Genomic DNA, 18,658 nt, shown 5'->3' with positions numbered 1-18,658 from the left:
AAATGCAGAAGCAAAAGCTATTTTCTGAACAGGAGAAGCAGCCTGTTATGGCTCAACCCCACTCTAATCCCAGCTCTGCCCTGGGTTCGATGGTGGGACCTCTGGGGAGAATGGCCAAAGCTGCTCAGTCCCAGATGGAAGGTATTTTCATTACTGTCACTGTATTTATGAAAGGAACTCATGTCTGGAATCTCCTTTTCACCCAAAGAATTCTCTTTTTGTAATTTATTACAAAATTCAAGGCCATTTCATTAGGGGGCAATGCGCCATGTCATTATTACAACAACTCCCCCTGTTTTTGTTCAATTTTGAAACTGACAATCTAAAGACTATTTTTAGCTCAGTCAAGTGAGATTATTTGTTTCCTTATTATGAAAAGTTTTTCCTTCAGACTCTAGTTAACATGAATTTTATTCTCACTTATTATGTCACATGCTCCAATTCAATTTATTTTAAAGCGGATTCTTTGGGGAAAACTGTAAAGCTAATTTGAATTGATTCTTTAGAGATTCCATTTTAAATGAAGTGCTATAAAAATTGGCAGGCAAAGTGAAAAAATGGAATTGAATTTTCTTCTTCGGCTACTCATTGGATTCAGAAATCTTGCTTTTCGACACTGCCAAGGGTTTTGATATAATGTTTTATGCAATTTTCATAACATTTATCTTAAACTCCACTGCCTTTGGTTTGGTTGTTCAACTGCAAAATGGTTTCCTGATATTTCCATATAAAAAAAGCAGAGTTTTTGCTACAGGAAAAATTTGGTGTTTTGATACAAACTTTCTAACATCCACTATGGTACCCATCTATAAAACATCTGGTGTAAGGCAGGTGTTTTAATTCTGGAGTGAATATCTAGCCCTTGTGGACAAGCTTGTTAAGGGGAGTGTGGAATAAAACTGCATCCCGAACTTCCTTCCACTTTGAACAGTTTATTTGTCTTTCTTTCAAAGTTGATGGATTTCCAACTTGAGGAAAGTGTGGAAATAATAGGCAAGAAGCCTGATGGCTTAATTTCCTGTCCCTCACAGACCCCAGGAAGCGCTCATTGTTCCTGAGAATAGGAGGCTCCAAGCTAATCAGAAACAGCCATCGTTTGGTGGGGACCGGGGCCCCGGGATTGGTCCGTCTGACTCCAGTTGATGATTTACATCCTATTATTAAGAATCTAATGGGAAATACATCGAAAACACATGTCTGCCATTTCATTTTGAGACATACTTGTTTTCTTTGATGTGTTTTTTAAAGGGAGTTTTATTTCACACTCATCTCTTCCCTTGAATTCCCTATACAGCCACTATCGTTCCTATTGACCCAGCTGGTAAGCTCATTGCCAGCTCACCAAGGGTCTTCGCTCACTTTGGCTCTGCTGCCATTGAATATAGCACCGAGTACTCAGAGTGATTTCCCCAAACTCTGGTTAGCCTTGAAAGCAACAAATCACTGTTGCATGAGTTTTTGTTCTGATTACAGAGACGATAATCATGTGAAGTTAATGCAGGTGTCATTAGGGTTTCGGCAAAAGGAGCAGACCCAAGACCGACTTCTCCATCAGACACACAATGTCTACAGCCCTGGATACTTGCAGGGCCCAATTTTAATTATAATTTATTTTAAGATTGGAGGAAAATGAGTATAATAGTGAATACATAATAATGAATCCAGCCTAGGTAGTATTTTTTTATACCAACATAATTACAAAATGTAATTTTTGTGGGGGCAGGGAGGAGTCTTGCTCTGTTGCCCAGGCTGAAGTGCAATGGCCTCCCAGGTTCAAGCAATTATCCTGCCTCAGCCTCCCTAGTAGCTGGGATTACAGACACCTGACACCAAGCCTGGCTAATTTTTGTATTTTTAGTAGAGATGGAGTTTCTCCATGTTGGCCAGGCTGGTCTTGAACTCCTGACCTCAGGTGATCCACCCACCTCGGCCCCCCAAAGTGCTGGGATTACAGGTGTGAGCCACCACAGCTGGCCTAAACTATAATTTTTTAAAAAATGTTTTAACAGTAGAATAAGGTCCATGAAGGCAAAGTGGCTCAGCGCATAGAAGTCATAATTCATCTGAGCAGAACTGCTGTGAGTAACATGGAATAAGGGACCGAGTCTAAGGATTGGCTTTTCTGTGACTGTGGCAGCTGATGGAGAGGTCTCAGCAGAGCTGCTAGACCTCTGTATCTGCAGATGGGCTTGAGGTTACCCTAGGTCACAAAGCCAGCAGTTGAGAAAAAAAGCCGGATGTGAAGGCTGTGGTTCTCAACCCGGGACGACTTTGTCCCCCAGAAGACATTTGGAGTTGATGCCTGGAGACAGTTTTGGTGGCCACAACTTAGGTGAGAGTGACGACTATCTAGTGAGAAGAGGCCAGGAATGCTGCTAAACACTGCAATGCACAAGACAGCCTCTGACCACAGTTATCTGGCTTGAAAGAGCAACAGTGCTGAGGCTGAGAGACCCTTATGTGAAGAAAGGCCACAACCTATAAGCCATGTCTGCCTCTTGCAGCCCCCCTCAGTGAAGGGATAACCCAAAGCAGGAGTTGCTGTCCCTCATCATTGAAGAACACTTGCACCTGGGAGGATTTGGCGATGCTAAAGAGGGATATGGGGCAGCTGCTGAGGAACTGCAGGGCTGGCTGCCCCGAGCCGCCACCGGGTGAGTCAGCAGATCAGTGGCAACGCACTGGAGCTACAGTAACAATGCACAGTGCCCCGCACCCACCTGCGGAGCGTGAGAGCTGCTGCTTCACTTCCACCTTCCATATCTCATGCAAATTTCTCTCCTGGTCAGCCCTAACTTGAAACCCTACAGGAAAGGAACTCTAGAAAATGTAGTTCCAGGTTCACTAAATTGCCATAGTCCAAGCCCCCCACAGTAGACCCTGAGGGGCTCTGCTCACCAGCACTTTATACCTGTGAAGTGGTGTTTTCTTCACCTCACTCCAGACTTCGCATGTGTTGAAATTGGATGTGCTATTGCAATTGTTTAAATCCACAAACACCTGGTGTGCTTTAGACTGCTGGCTGTGCATCCGCATCTTTCTTTCAGAAATACAGCTGTGGCTGCACACACAGCTCCCCAGACAGAGCCATGAACCAGCTTCCCATGCAGTTAGGGGTGGCCGTATCACTGCTACTTATCACATGCATGTTTGGGCAAGTGGGTGTGCCGGCTCCAGAGCTGCACCTGTGGACGCCAGCTGCATACCCCTCCACGTGCTCTTTCCCCTTCCCATCAGCTGGAACCCAAATCTGAGGCAACCCAGCTTCAACCACACGATGACAAGAACAAAGCAGCAGGATGGAGAGATCTTGGAGATTTTATACCCTAAAGCACCTGCATCGTACTCTTCTTTTTTCCTAAGGAGTTCTGAGTGAGCTTCTTAGTCACTTAGGTCGTGAATAATAAAAACCAACTGAGGCCAGATGCAGTGGCTCACACCTGTAATCCCAACACTTTGGGAGGCCAAGGCAGGAGGATGGCTTGAGGTCAGGAGTTTGAGACCAGCCTGACCAACACAGCAAGACCTTGTTTCTAAAAAAGGAAGGAAGGAAGGAACAAAGGAAGGAAAAAGAGGAGAGGAAGGAAGGAAGGAAAAAGAGAGAGGGAAGGAAGGAAAAAGAGGGAAGGAAGGAAGGAAAAGGAAGGAAGGAAAGAAGGAAGGAATGAAGGAGGGAGGGAAGGAAGAAGGGAGGGAGGGAAGGAAGGAAGGAGGGAGGGAAGGAAGGAAGGTAGGAAGGAAGGAGGGAGGGAGGGAGGGAGGGAGGAAGGAAGGAAAAAAATTAAAACCAACTGAAATTGGCTGGGCACAGTGGTTCATGTCTGTAATCCCAGGACTTTGGGAGGCTGAGGCGGGAGGATAGCTTAAGCCCAAGAGTTTGAGACCAGCTTAAGCAACATAGTAAAACCCTGTCTCTACAACAAATACAAAAACTAGCCAGGGATGGTGATGTGCACCTATGGTTCCAGCTACTCAAGAGGCTGAGGCAGGAGGATTGCTTAAGCCTAGGAGTTTGAGGCTGCAGTGAGCTGTGATGGTGCCATTTCACACTCCAGCCTGCCTCCTTTTAGAGACAGCAAGACCCTGTCTCTATAAAAGAAAGAAAGAAAAAAGAAAGAAAGAAAGAAAAAGAAAAGAAGACAAGACAGACTTTTCACTTAAGCAGAAAAGGGAATGTATTTGTTCCCATAATTGGGAGGTTCAGGCTGAGTTTCAGGCATAACTGGATCTAGGGGTTCAAAGTATGTCATTAGGATTCTCCGTCTCCCAACATTGGCTTCTTGCAGGAGTCCAGGGAAGATGGCTTTGAGAAGTTCCAGGCTCACAATTCCCTTCTAGCTCATGACCCAGGAGAAAACAGGAGCTTCTCTCTCTCAAGGCATACTTAACTATGAAGAGGAAATGCAGAATGGTCCCTCTGGGGTTACAGGCTCACCCCGAACCAATCACTCCAAACCTCAGAAGAAGGGAGACTAGAATGAACCTGTAAAATCAGTAGCCATTACAGCCCACTTGGGAAGTTAACCAACATTACCAGGCAGTGAAGACAGTGCTGGTGGGGGGTAAAATCAGGAAGCTGCAATTGAGGTTCAGGGAAGGAAAACCATTCTCAGCTGAGGTCGTTAGGAATGCCTTCATAGGACAGGTAGGATTTGAGCTGGGCGTTGGGAGACCTAAAGTTTAAAAACGGATGAAGAAGAAAATACCGTACTTTCATTCCTGATCATTTTCTAAGGCTCAAGGAAGCTAGCAGCCCAGGGGGATGTAAAGGATCGTGTTGGTTTTCTTCCCTTTGCCACTGGTTCAGGATGAGAAGTGTTTTTCTTTGAGCATCGAGTCCTTCCAGAGACTGACAGAAAGGGAGAGAATTTGGATACGAGGACAAAAATCTCCAGCACAGGCACTCACATGTAAAGCAGGAGGAAAACGCCATGCTTCTCCCCAACCTGAGGAACAGCTGGTAAGTGTAACTGGCAGTTTCCTTAATCAGTCCAGAAAGGCTTGTTATATAAATAAATGATTCAAATAGGAAGTGACTTACCTTAGGAAACATGCCTTGCTCTTTTTTGTTTTTCATGTTTCTAGAATGGTTTCTTTCAGGGTTGGGGTAGAACAGCTTGTAATTTTAATATACATTTATTGATTCTAAAACTGTCTAGTGTTAGGATTTTAGGAATATATTTTTATGAGGATTCAAGTAGCATAATAATTTTCCAACCAGCCATGCTAGCAGAGCCAAGGGCTCAATTCTTTAGGACAGGGGTCGGTCCTTTTATCTGTAAACATCCTGTGCTGTTGGCTGGGTTCAGGTGTATGGTAACTGGCTTGACCTTAAAAGGCGCTGGAGGTGATGGTGGTGACTATGCTACTGCTGCTGCTGATAGCAACTATTGATCTCACAGGTGAGGCCAACTGCAGTATAAACCCCATCCTCTTTATTCTAAGGAACCATTACACTCTCTGTGTATGATGGATGATTGTTTGATGACGGTTAGATCAGATCAGAGATTTATTGTTTCCTACTTGTCGGTGATGTAATGATGACTTTAGGCACAAAGTTCTTTTCATTGATAGGCAAGTTTGCCCCTTTAAGCAGGGAGTGGGAGATGTCCTCGTGTTTGGTTTAGGCTGGGTCTCTCCAGACCAGTTTGTCTTTAGAGCCCATTGGAAGCAGTACAGCAGCTCAGTATCTGTTGTCTGTTCCCACGGTGGCTAGCGGGGATGGGGCTTATCATTTCTATGAGAACTGTAATGAATCATATAGGGGGAATCCTGACTTGAGGCGAATAGAGGCACACAATTAGTTAATTGCATCGATTTTACTGGTGGATTGCTCCCTATCTCAGTTCCCACACATTGCTATGTAGCTTGCAGTGTCTCTTATGGTGGGAATACACTTCTCTGCTCCATTGATATTGGACTTGGCACCATGACTTGCTCTGGCTAATGAGATGCAAGCGGAAGGGAGTCTGTGCGGGTAGGAGCTGAAGCTTTGGAGGCTTCACCCTTGCTTTCTTTCTCATTTATTCCTTTCCCTCTTCCATGGGAATGGCATGTCCCCGATGGGCACCGCTCTTTCAGCCTGGGCTGTCACATGCAATGTGAGTGAGAAATACATACTTGTTATTGTGAGCCACTGAGATGTTAGGAGCACTTGTTACAACATGTAACCTAGTGAAAGCTGACTGATACAAATGGTCACTTATTGTCCTGGTCATTCTGGTGAAAAATGGTCCAACCCTTAAACATGTGGCTATAGACTGAGCTTGTAACAACTCTACCCAAGAAAAACATCCTAAATCGAAGAAAATGAATGAACTACAGTCAGATTAAACCAACAATAACAAGAAGCCAATTTCGTATATCAAATTTGCAAGGGCTATAAAAATAATAGTATTAGAAAGAGTATACCAGAAACAAGCATTCTTAGACATTGTTAGTGGAAGTATAATTAGAACCACAGTGCTGGAGATAAATTCAGGAGCAATACTGATACCAATAATAGATGGTATTTATAGAGTGCCTTTATGTGCCAGGTTCTACTATTTTAAGTTTTTTTTGTTTTTTTTTTGTTTTGTTTTTTTTTAGAGGGAGTCTCGCTCTGTCACTCAGGCTGGAGTGCGGTGGCGCAATCTCGGCTCACTGCAATCTCCGCCTCCTGGGTTCATGCCATTCTCCTGCCTCAGCCTCCCGAGTAGCTGGGACTACAGGCGTCTGCCACCACACCTGGCTAATTTTTTGTATTTTTAATAGAGACGGGGTTTCACCGTGTTAGCCAGGATGGTCTCAATCTCCTGACCTCGTCATCTGCCCACTTCTGTCTCCCAAAGTGCTGGGATTACAGGTGTGAGCCACTGTGCCCAGCCTACTATTTTAAGTTTTATTGACCTTACTTGAATTAATAAAATTGATTTACATGTACTAACGTAATTCTTGTAATCATCTTGTAGGGAAGGTATTATTCTTAAAAATATATATATTTCAAAACCCTTAAAAATGTTTCTTTGCTCTTTGACGCACATCTGGGAGTTTATCCTAAGGAAATAATTACAGATGAGGTGAAAAAGCTTTATCTAAGAATGTTCGTGGCAGAATCGTTCATAATTGTGAAACTCAGAAGCAATATAAACATCCAGAAAATTGGAATCTTTTAAAAAAGTTGAACGCTTTAAAAGAGATATAAAAATATATGGTGGACATGAGAAGACTTTTATTTCCATTAAGTAAAAAAAGCAGCACTTTTTTTTTTTAGTGGCAGGGCACAGTGGCTCACACCTATAATCCCAGCACTTTGGGAAGCCGAGGCAGGGGGACCACTTGAGGTCAGGAGTTCGAGACCAGCCTGGCCAACGTAGTGAAACCCTGTCTTTACTAAAAATAAAAAAAAAATTAGCCGGGTGTGGTGGTATGCACCTGTAGTTCCAGCTGCTAGGGCGGCTGAGGCAGGAGAATCATTTGAACCCAGGAGGCAGAGATTGTGGTGAGCCGAGATCGCGCCACTGCCCTCCAGCCTGGGTGACAAGAGTGAAACTTCGTCTCAAAAATATATATAAAATAAAATTAAAAGTAAAATAATTTAAAAAAGCAGTTTAGTGAAAAATGCAGTGTAGACCTGCATTGTGTAATACAATAGCCACCAGCAACGTGAGCACTTAAAATGTGACTAGTCTGGGCCAGGCACAGTGGCTCATGCCTATAATCCCAGCACTTTGGGAGGCTGAGGTGGGTGGACCACCTAAGGTCGGAATTCGAGACCAGCCTGACCAACATGGAGAAACCCAGTCTCTACTAAAAATACAAAATTAGCCGGGCGTGGTGGCACGTGCCTGTAATCCCAGCTACTCGGGAGGCTGAGGCAGGAGAATCGCTTGAACCTGAGAGGAGGAGGTTGTGGTAAGCTGAGATTGTGCCACTGCACTCTAGCCTGGGCAATGAGAGCAAAACTCCGTCTCAAAAAAAAAAAAAAAAATGTGACTAGTCTGAATTGAGAAGTGCTGTAAGTGAAGACTTAATATGGAAATAAAAGAATATAACAATATTTCATTAATTTTTATGTTGATTCAAGGTTGAAATGATAATATTTGGGGCATATTACTAACATTAATTTCCCCTGCTTTTTTTGTACTTTAAAAAAATGTGGCTACTAGAAAAACTTGAAATTTCATATGTGGCTCATATTTATTTTAGGACTTGTGACCACACAGTTTCTGTTACAACTGCTCACTTGCGTTGTAAGTCAAAGCAGCCATAGATGACATAGAAATGAATGGACATCTCCGTGTTCTAATAAAACTTTATTTATAAAAACAGGTAGCCAACCAGGAGGGCAGTAGTTTGCTTAACCGTGGTCTAGACCAGAGTTTCCTAACCTTGGGCCTTTTGACATTTGGGGCTAGGTAATTTGTTGTTGTTGAGGGCTGGCCTGTGCGTTTTAGGATGTTTAGCAGTATCTCTGGCCTCAACCACTAGATGCCAGTATCACCACCTGCCCCAGTTTTGACAACCTAAAATGTCTGCAGACATTGCTGAATGTCTTCTGTGGGGGAAAAATCACCCTGATTGAGAACCACTGGTCTAGCTCATATGATTTTATTTCCGAGAAAACAAAAATTGTGTGCATGTGTAGTGTTCTGGATGGGTACACACCAAGGTGCAGGAGTTACGTGTTTGGTTTTTTTCCCCATCTTTTCATTTTTTGCATTTTCTAAATTAAGCATAGGTTATTTAATATGTAAAAAGGAACAATCGTGGGGCTGCATGTGGTAACTCGGGCCTGTAGTCCCAGCTACTTGGGAGGCTGAGATGGGAGGATCGCTTGAGCCCAGGTGTTCCAGATGCTTCTGGGCAACATAGAGACCCCATTGCAAAAAAAGTAGGGGGATGGGGCAAATAAATAAATAAAACAATTGTGTAGACAAAGAAAGCCAAAAAGACAAAGATAAAATGAGACTCAGAAAGAAATCCACGTGTAGAAAAGAAAGTGAGAGTTGGGGGAGAATGCTACTTCATCCCCAAAAGACAAGTTCTCTACTTGGCCAGGCCCTCAACTGCCACTCCAAGATGTAATATCAAGGGCAGCAGATGTGGTTGGGCCAATGATCTCTGGGTTGATTATGGGTTTGGAAAAATACATCGGCCACACTGGAGTAGGCAGGCCCTCGCCTGGTGTGGTGTAACTATTTACCAAAAGGAAGCAGGCTTGATTTTGATGTACACACCACACCTCCTCAGGTGTAAGGCACACTGGGACCTCCACTGCTTGAGTCCACCAGGGAAAGGAGGAAGTAAGGAGTTAGACAAGATTTCAGAATGAAAAATTGAAACGCTGACTGCACTGAACTACTTCTCACAAAAGCCCAGGCAGTAACATTTTAGCAACTAAAAAATCAGTGCCAATTTACTGATATTTAAAATTCATGTTATTATAAATCAATTATTATTATAAGTAACTTTACTTTGTGCTTGCCATGCACCGGGCAGTGTACCTCATTTAATCTTCCATAATCTTCCTTATAGTGCTGAAAGGTAGGTGCTGTGCTTAGGATAGTTTTCCAGTTGTGGAACCCAGAGCTCGGAGATGGTAAGTTATATGCCTAAGTCCCACAGCTAGCAAGAGATGGAACCAAGGCTGTAGGCCACTCTCTGAGTTGACAAGTCATGCCCTTGTGATCTAAACTACAAGGGTGTACATTTTCTCTTGGGATTCAAGTTCTTATTTTGAAAGAAAAATACATAGCTCCTAAGAATTATGGTTTTTTGGAATTAGTCCTTTCCAGGAAAAAAAAGACTTTGCTCACTGTCATCATTGGTGAGAAGCTAATAAGCATGTCAAGTTCAGGTGTAGTTTGAGCAACTCAGTGAAGAGGTAGAGAGAGGTGAGGCAAAGATCTAGGCAGGAAGTGACCCTGAAAGCTGGGTGGCCTGATACTGGGATCTGGGTGGTGGGTCCATCAGAAAAGGGCCCCAGCCAGTGTCTGGAGAGATTGAGGGCATGACAGAGAGAGACTAGACTCCATAGAGAGGGCACTGGCAAGAGCTGGACAGGCCGCCATCATGGAAGAGGGGTGCTGGGAGGGAAACTGATTCAGAAGTACAATTCTCTGGTATGCAGGCACAGAAGTGCCAAGCAGCAGTCCTACAGCATGACCATGGACATTAACTCACTGACTGCTCTGTGTGGGAGTCGGTCAGCTCCAGAGCGGGGGTGAGGTGGCAGATGAAGGGTAGAGGTGATGCCAGGTGTCTGGAGTAGGGGAGGCAGGTGTGGCAGAAGCTGTGGATGGCCCCCAATGCCTGTTCTTCCCTTCTGCCTTGGTACTAGAGCTCCCAAATTTTATGAATAACTGGGCACATGGCCACCAACCTCCCTTGCAGCTCAGTGTGACCATGCCCTTCTTCTCCTACTATCCTTCCTCTGGTAGGGATGCAATGGCTGGAACTCCAGCAGCCATTTGAGACCATGAGGTGGGTTTGGCATGGTGGCTCATGCCTGTAATCCCAGCATTTTGGGACAGCAAGGTGGGAGGATAACTTGAGGCCAGGAGTCGAGACCAGCCTGGGCAACCAAAGTATAAATGCATCTACAGAAATTGTTGGTCCACACAGTGTCATAAGAATTTTGAAGGCCAGGCGTGGTGGTGGCTCATGCTTGTCAGCCCAGCAGTTTGGGAGGCTGAGATGGGAAGATCACTTGAGCCCAGGAGTTTGAGAACAACCTAGGTAACATAGCAAGAGCCCGACTCTACAAAAAATAAATAAATAAATAAACTAGGTATGGGGGTGTGTGCCTGTAGTCCTAGCTACGTTGGAGGCTGAGGTGGGAGGATTGCTTGAGCCAGGAGGTTGAGGCTGCACTACAGTGAGCTATAACTGAGCCACTGCACTGCAGCCTGGGTGACAGAGTGACATCCTGTCTCACAAAAAAAAAAAAAAAAAAAAAGACCATGAGGTGGGTACTCTTGTGATTGGTGGAGCGAGAACATGGAGACTGGCTTCCTAGTGTTTGCAAAACTGCCAGATACCAGGACAGTCTCCCCTCTGCTCACTTCCAGACTTGGTTTCTACTAGACAATTACATGTGTATCTTGTTAAATTTGTTATTATTTGAGGTTTTCTACCATTTCTAATTAAGCTGAAGTTAATTTTAACTAACTTGGCAAGGACCGACATATTCGGTTTTTGTTTTTATTTATTTATTTATTTTTATTTTTATATTTTTGAGATGGAGTTTCACTCTTTGTTGCTCAGGCTGGAGTGCAGTGGTGTGATCTCAGCTCACTGCAACCTCTGCCTCCTGGGTTCTAGCGATTCTCCTGTCTCAGCCTCCTGACTAGCTAGGATTACAGGCACCCACCACCACACCTGGCTAATTTTTGTAGTTTTAGTAGAGTCGGGATTTCACCATGTTGGCCAGACTGGTCTCAAACTCCTGACCTCAGGTGATCCGCCTGCCTCGGCCTCCCGAAGTGTTGGGATTACAGGTGTGAGCCACCATGCCTGGCCTGTTTTTATTTTTGATTCGGGGGTACATGTGCAGGTTTGTTACAAGGGTATATTGCGTGATGCTGAGGTTCAGGCTTCTGTTGATCCCATCACCCAAATAGTGAACATAGTACCCAATAGGAAGTCTTCCCAGCCATTTCCCCCCTCCCTTCTGCCCCTCTTTTGGAGTCTCAGTATCTATTGTTCCCATCTTTATGTCTGTGTGTCCCCATGTTTAACTCTCACAAGTGAGACCATGCAGTATTTGGATTTCCGTTTCTGCATTAATAGGACTGACATTTTCTAATGCTGGCCTTAGAAGGCTGGCTGCCCCTCCCAACTCCCTTCCTATAGCATAGATTCTATATAAACTCATTCTAGTTTGAATTAATAGGAATTTAAAGTTACTTTAAGTGAATGAGCGCGAACACGTTCACCAACCTGACTATTCCAGAACATGTTGTAATTGCTGCAGTTGTTTCAGTTCAGGTCCTCATCCACTCCTATCCCTTCCACTCTCCCACCAACCCACCCACCGGGGTCTGAAGGTACACGTACAATAGAAGGAAAAACTGAATTTACAAACAGAGAGCTCTTCTCCCCAAGAAAATTCAGAGTCACAACCATCATTACCACTTCCTCAGCTTCGTACCCCATTCTAATACCTGCAGTGATGATCTGCATCTCACGCTCTGTCTTCCATTCCTACCTCTGACAAAGCTTAGTTCCTGCTCCCCTCCCTAGGTGCCCTGGATCCCAGCCTCTCCTGCCTCCCCTAGGACTGAAACCCAATCCTCATCTCATTTCCTGCCTGTAAAACAACCGCTTCCCACAATAATTCATTATCCCCATCAGCAATTGACCTTTTATTGTGTGTTTGTTGATATTACAATTCTAGGGTATGTGATAAAGGTGCGGTTGTAGGAATGGATCCTCAGGAAATAGACTTTGAGATAGATGTTTCTAGGGGAGAGTTTTGGGGGAAACCTGCACGAGAATGAAGGAAGGACTGGACAGAGAAAGAAGTTGAACTTCTTGGCAATTGTGAGAAAGGGCTCAGCTCACCCCATGGGGACCTCTGAAGATGGCTGGTCCTTCAGAGATGTCTGGGATTGAGGCAGGGGACTGAGTGCCTTAGTCCTTTGAGTCCTTTGTGTCTCCAAGCAGCACGTTCCAGTTCCCACTACAGATGCATTGAAGGATTTTGGCTGGTTATGGTGAGACTTCTCAGGGTGGTTGGGTGGCTACCTCCGGGGTCTAATACTTAATCTCTGAGGCCCAGAACATGAATTTTCTTTATATGTCCATAGCTGATCAGTCTTTCTATGACAAATCACACTAATTAAATTTAGACAAGACAAATGAATACATGACAAATGGATTTGTTTACAATGAGATTGTCTCTTTGCAGTGATCAAAATGCTTGTGTTCCTACATGTTCTCACTTACAAGTGCGAGCTGAATGATGAGAACACATGGACACGTGGTGGGGAACAACACACACTGGGGCCTGTGTGGGGACAGTGGGGGAAGGGACAGCATCAGGAAGAATAGCTAATGGATGCTGGGCTTAATACCTAGGTGATGGGTTGATGTGTGCAGCAAACCACCGTGGCACATGTTTACCTATGTAACAAACCTGCACATCCTGCACATGTAGCCTGGAACTTAAGATAAAAGTTGATGGAAAAAAAGTTTGTGTTAGTTATCTCTAATATTCATTTCCCAGTATCAACACAGGGGAAAGATGGTAGCTGTGTAGAGATCTAAAAGTCATTAAGTCCAAATTAAAGGCAGGAAGTCAGCATGGTCCAATAAATCTCTCTGTAAGAAGAAAAACTGAAGGTATTCGATGCTTCAGATGGAAGGAGTAAGAAGCTAGAAAATATTCGTGATGTGGCAAGGACAAAATATGTTTCTTCTTTCTACAGAAAAAAAAGTCTAGGAAGAACTCAAAAAGGTACAAGAAAATCATGGTCCAAACAGAGGCAAAATAAAATGAATCGTAATTTTGAGTAACTGCAGGGATGTAATAAAAGAAAATCAATTCGGCTGTGCTCCTGGGAACATACTCCTTTGAGTCACCCAAAAGGTGGTGACATTGAATGCAAGAGGAAGAAATGTGATCCTAACGCAGTCCTTGGCTCTCCAGGGAACAATATTTACCCGCTCACAATAATGTTAATGCAGTTCATTGGCTTCAAACTAGCAGAATTAACCCATAGACCAAGCACAGAGGACTCATCATGCTTGCAGAACAGAATGTAATGTTACCAATCAGAACAATGGAAAAACAAAGATCAAGCTGGAAGAAGTTGAAAGGGGAAAGTGGGGGAGCTGGTATCTCCATCTCATACTGTGTGGAGTTGAGAAATATTGTTGAAAGTTCATGGAATGAGGCCAAACGTGGTGGATTATGCCTGAAATCCCAGCACTTTGGGAGGCTGGGGCAGGAAGACCACTTGAGGCCAAGAGTCTGAGACCAGCCTGGGTAACATAGCAAGATCCTATCTCTCCAAAAAGAAAAAATTAAAAATTAGCCAGGTGTGTTGACACGTGCCTGTAATCCCAGCTACTTGGGAGGCTGAGGCAGGAGCATTGCTGGTGCCCAGGAGTTCAAGGCTGCCGTGATCCGTGTTCACGCCACTGCACTCCAGCCTGGGTGACAGAATGAGGTCCTGTCTCAAAATAAATAAATAAGGTAAGTTCATGGAGTGAGAACTGGAATTTTAAGTATATTACTTAAAATTATGTAAGTAACCAATGGAAGGATTAAAAATAATACTAAAACCACCAAACTTTGGAAGGGAGAAGTGAAAGTGGAGGCAGAGTTAGTAGATGTTTACCTTTCAAAATAGGTAGATCATGTATACTATTGGTAAATTATGAAGGAGAAGAGTAAGCATATGATTTAAGGTTATGGAGGTAACCACCAGGAAAAACAAAAACAGAAGCAGTCAAGCGGTTGGCGTTGGGAAGCAGCTGCAGGTGGAGGCGATGTGGGAGGTAGAAGGTTACTTCTGTAGCATTTTATCTTTTCATCCTATGCATGTATTTCTTGGAAATTATGGAAAACAGGTATGATTTTAAAAATCACCAGGTAGAGTTTAATTATTAATCAAAAGGAGGTTTGGCAAGTATAGACTCAGAATGATTTGGGGGACAGGTCTCTTATGTTCTAGAAAAGCCCAGTGAAATCCTACTCTCCAGCAATGGAGAACACATTTTTGGTGCTCCCCTAATTTCAGGGCCTAACTCTACTGAAAAGAATTGGGTCCACACAGGCACACTTAAATGTGCGGGACTCTTTCTTTCACGAACCTCTCCTTTGTGTCCCGACAAGACAGATCAATGTCAGAGGACCACCTCTGACTTCTCCCCAAGCAAGCTCATTCAATCCTTTGTTGCTCAAAATAGGGAATAACTGGAGCCATGGTCCTAATGGTGGCAGCACATTAGACTTTCTTGTGGAGCTTTAAAAATATACCCTTGCCCAGGCCCCACCCCAGGCCAATTAAATCTGTGGCCCCGGCTTTGGTACTTTTTTATTTTAAAAAATTCCCCAGGTGCTTCTATTGTGCGGTTGGAATTAGAAGCGCAGCTGGAATTGAGAGGCACGGGTCCAGTCATTCTGTGTTGCTCATCAGAGGACTGAAGCAGGCCCACCTGGAGGTAGCTGACACTTCCTTCATCATCGCCGTTTTTGGAGAGTGGTCATACCCGACTTTTCCCCAGTTTCTCCCTGCCCATTCACTCCCCAAGCCCTGCTGTATGGCTTCCCCGCTGCCCACGTCTCTGGGAACTGCCTTTCCTCATTCTCTCCAGTGAGCTGCTAGTTGCTATGTCCAGTGAGTTCTCCAGTCCCTAAGCTTCTTCTCTGTGCAGGGTTTGAGCCTGCTGATAATTCCTCCTATCCTCAAATTCCCTCCTTGGTTTCTTTGACCCCCACTCTCCCTGACTCTCTTCCTTCCTCACTGCTCAGCCATCTTAGCCGGCTTCATGCGAACCATCCGCTGCTTGCGTGGGCCTCTCCTCTCCATCCCAGATCTGCCTGCGTGGGCCTCTCCTCTCTCACTGCTCACATTCTCCTGGGGGTTTCAAGTATCTTCTTGACTACTATTATCAGCTCACTGAGGATGACCTCAGGCCTTCACCTCCATCCCAGATCGGCTATCTGATTGCCTACTGGACATTTCCACCTCATGTCTTACAGGTACTTCAATCAAAACCTTCCGCCAAATGAAGCTCATCATCTATTGCCCAAATCCCTTCTCCCGTCTTCCTTGCTTTGTTGAATGGCCCCAGTTATCCAACCCCACTCAGTTATACAGCCCAAACTCCAGAAATTTCCTAGACACATCCCTTTTCTGCCTCCCACCAACATCCAGTTAATTCCGTTTTAGTCACCCCCTCTGCTCTATCTCTGCCAGGACTTCAAGTCTGTCCATCATCATCTCCTCCCTGGGTGGCTGCGAAGACCTCCCTACCCAGTCTCACTGCCTTAATCACGTCCCCTTGCAATGCTCACTTAGGTCAGAGCAATCATTCCAAAGCACAAATATGACTGTGTCAATCTCCTGTCTAAGACCCTTCAATCGCTTCCTCATGGCCTGCCAAGTCCAAACTTAGAAAGATCCACCAGGCAGTAATAACTTATTGCTCCCTCCCTCTCCAGTTTCAGCACCTGCTAGGACCAACAGATGCCCCGTGCATCTATGCACACTGAGTGCACCCACCCCCATCTTCCCGATCTGCCAGGCTGCTTCCTCCCAGCTTTCCAGCTTTCCCCTGCAGTCTACTGGACCTGGAACGCCCTCCTGGTTGTTTTCTATTCACACTTCAACCTTTTGTTCAGACCTTACCACGTTTAAGTCACCTCCTCCTCCTGTCTATTCTAGGGTCTGGCAAACAGTAGGTGCTCAAGCAATATTTACAGCATAAGCAAATACACAATGCTGTAAATTTTAAAGTGGAGTGTAGTATTACTACATGAAGAAGGTGCAAAAGATAATTATATATCTAACTCTCAAATACATTGACTTTAAAGGAAGTTTCTCAATGTACTCAGAAGAGCCCTGGGGACCCCCACAGAGCTGCCTGAAAGGCCGCTGATGGGGATCCCCATTTTTAAACGGGAGTACTTTCATCTATTTTATATGTTGGTCTTTGAGGAAGATCTAGCTTGAACAAAGTGTCTTGTGACTAAGGAATATGTGAAAAACAATTCTGTAAATTATTCAAACAAGGTGGAACATAATTTCCAGTTTAATTACCCCTGCAAAAGAAGTTCTCATATATCTGTTTTTTTGTCGTTGTTTTTTTTTGTTGTTGTTTGTTTTTAGCAGACTGCCACAGGAATGTATTTTTTCTTGATTTTCCTTAGTGTCTTAGTGACATACTTGGCAGGGTTTTTTTTTTTTTTGGCTTTTAAAAAAAGTTATTATTTTGAATCAATTGTATATGCATATGGTCAACAAAGTTAAGAGATAGAAAAGGAATTCAGTGAAAAATTACCCTCCTCACAAACACCCTGTTTCCATCCTCCGGAGACAACGCTGTGTCTGGCTTTAGCACATCATTCCAGAGATTTCTGTGCAGGGGCCACTGCTCTGCTGGGCAGGAAGCACATTCCCTTGGTGGGGACAATGGAAGGACAAGTCTTCTCCTAAATGTCGTGGACATGGTTTAATCATTACGAACTCAGAGTGGCCTCAAAAGACACCTGGCCCCACTATCCAATGACTGTCAGGAAGAAGGGCTTAACATCAACTCTTCCAATATCAAAACCATTTTTTGGCAGATAACCTCTAGCATTTGCTTGGCTCATAGCCAAATACCCATTTAGATCAGCTTATTTACTTACCTAGGGGTACATTTTTCTCCTAATACATTATGGAGGATTTATCAGGAAATTAGACTACTCAAAATGCGATGGTCTGTGGGTGCTTTGCTGAATATATATTTTTAATGACTGGAGTAAGCATTTGATATTTCAGTAAGTGGCGTTGGGACAATTCACTCTCAAATGAAAGAGAAAAGAAAAAAAATCGTAAAGAAAATAAAATTCCTACCTATTGCCCCCACTGAAATACATTAAAGAGGTACTAAAGACTGGAACATGGGGAAAATACACTAAAACTGTCAGAAGAAATTATAAGAGAATACCTTTTTGAATTTTGGAGAGAAAACGTTTTTTCTTTTCTTTTCTTTTCGTTTCTTTTGATATAGAATCTCACTCTGTTGCCCAGGCTGGAGTGCAGTGGCACGATCTTGCCTCACTACAATCTCCAAATCCTGGGTTCAAGTGATTCTCATGCCTCAAGTCTCCCAAGTAGCTGGGATTACAGGCATGTGCCACCATGCCTGGCTATTTTTTTTCTATTTTTAGAGGAGATGGGTTTTCACTTTGTTGGGCAGGCTGGTCTCGAACTCCTGGCCTTAAGTGATCCACCTGCTTCAGCCTCCAGGAATTACAGGTGTAAGTAATCACACCCAGCCAGAAAGTATTTTCTTTAAGACAATACAAAAAATACAAACTACAAACAGAGGTCTATCTGATTATACCTGATTTAAAACCTTTTGTAAAAAACACACCATGAGCTAGATTAAAAGACAAGTGGGGGCCTTGGAGAAGGTATTTGCAGAAGATCTAGCAGACAGAGAATTGTGACCTAGAACATATGTGATCCCTACAAATCAGGTGGAAAAAGCCATACAACCCCAAAGGAAAAACAGACCAAAAATATGAACTGAGAATGTATAGAAGGGGAAATAAGAACAGGCAATGTGTATATTAAAAAATATTCAGCTTCATGCAAACTTAGGAAAGTGCAGTTAAAACAATATGGTTTTTTTTTTTTGACCAATCACATTGGCAGAAATCTTGAGCCTGAGAATATCAAATGTTGGCTAAGCTGTGAGAGAAATGGTGCCCTCATTCACTGTTGTTGGGAGTGTAAATCAACAGAGATATTTAGGAGAACAATTTAGCAGCATTTTGTAAATTTGAAAACATGCATCCCCTGTAACAGCAATTTCATTTCTACGTATTTACTCCCACAGGTGCTCACAAGAGCACTGTCCAAGGATGTGTATTTCTGTTTAGTTTCAATCTAAATGTCCACCATGAGACTGGCTAAAATAGTGTGGTGTTTGTGGTCTGTAGAATACTTTGCTG

At 43.8% G+C, this 18,658-nt stretch overlaps 4 annotated features.

The window, feature by feature from the left end:
- Nucleotides 2,453-2,532: an enhancer, noted in NCBI's record as "active region_8873". NCBI's record gives its function as "activates an Ori minimal core promoter by ATAC-STARR-seq in GM12878 lymphoblastoid cells {active_cell/tissue: GM12878}" and the evidence as "EXISTENCE:reporter gene assay evidence [ECO:0000049][PMID:35858748]".
- Nucleotides 2,521-3,133: an enhancer, noted in NCBI's record as "H3K27ac-H3K4me1 hESC enhancer chr14:90239644-90240256 (GRCh37/hg19 assembly coordinates)". NCBI's record gives its function as "activates a minimal SCP1, AML or CMV promoter by ChIP-STARR-seq in primed H9 embryonic stem cells {active_cell/tissue: H9 hESC(primed)}" and the evidence as "EXISTENCE:reporter gene assay evidence [ECO:0000049][PMID:30033119]".
- Nucleotides 8,142-8,191: an enhancer, noted in NCBI's record as "active region_8872". NCBI's record gives its function as "activates an Ori minimal core promoter by ATAC-STARR-seq in GM12878 lymphoblastoid cells {active_cell/tissue: GM12878}" and the evidence as "EXISTENCE:reporter gene assay evidence [ECO:0000049][PMID:35858748]".
- Nucleotides 8,981-9,250: an enhancer, noted in NCBI's record as "active region_8871". NCBI's record gives its function as "activates an Ori minimal core promoter by ATAC-STARR-seq in GM12878 lymphoblastoid cells {active_cell/tissue: GM12878}" and the evidence as "EXISTENCE:reporter gene assay evidence [ECO:0000049][PMID:35858748]".

The sequence above is a fragment of the Homo sapiens genome, chromosome 14 (genome assembly GCF_000001405.40).
Source record: "Homo sapiens chromosome 14, GRCh38.p14 Primary Assembly".
NCBI lineage: Eukaryota > Metazoa > Chordata > Mammalia > Primates > Hominidae > Homo > Homo sapiens.
The sequence above is the reverse complement of the archived record's forward strand: the minus strand, read 5'-3'. Positions and strand labels throughout refer to the sequence as shown.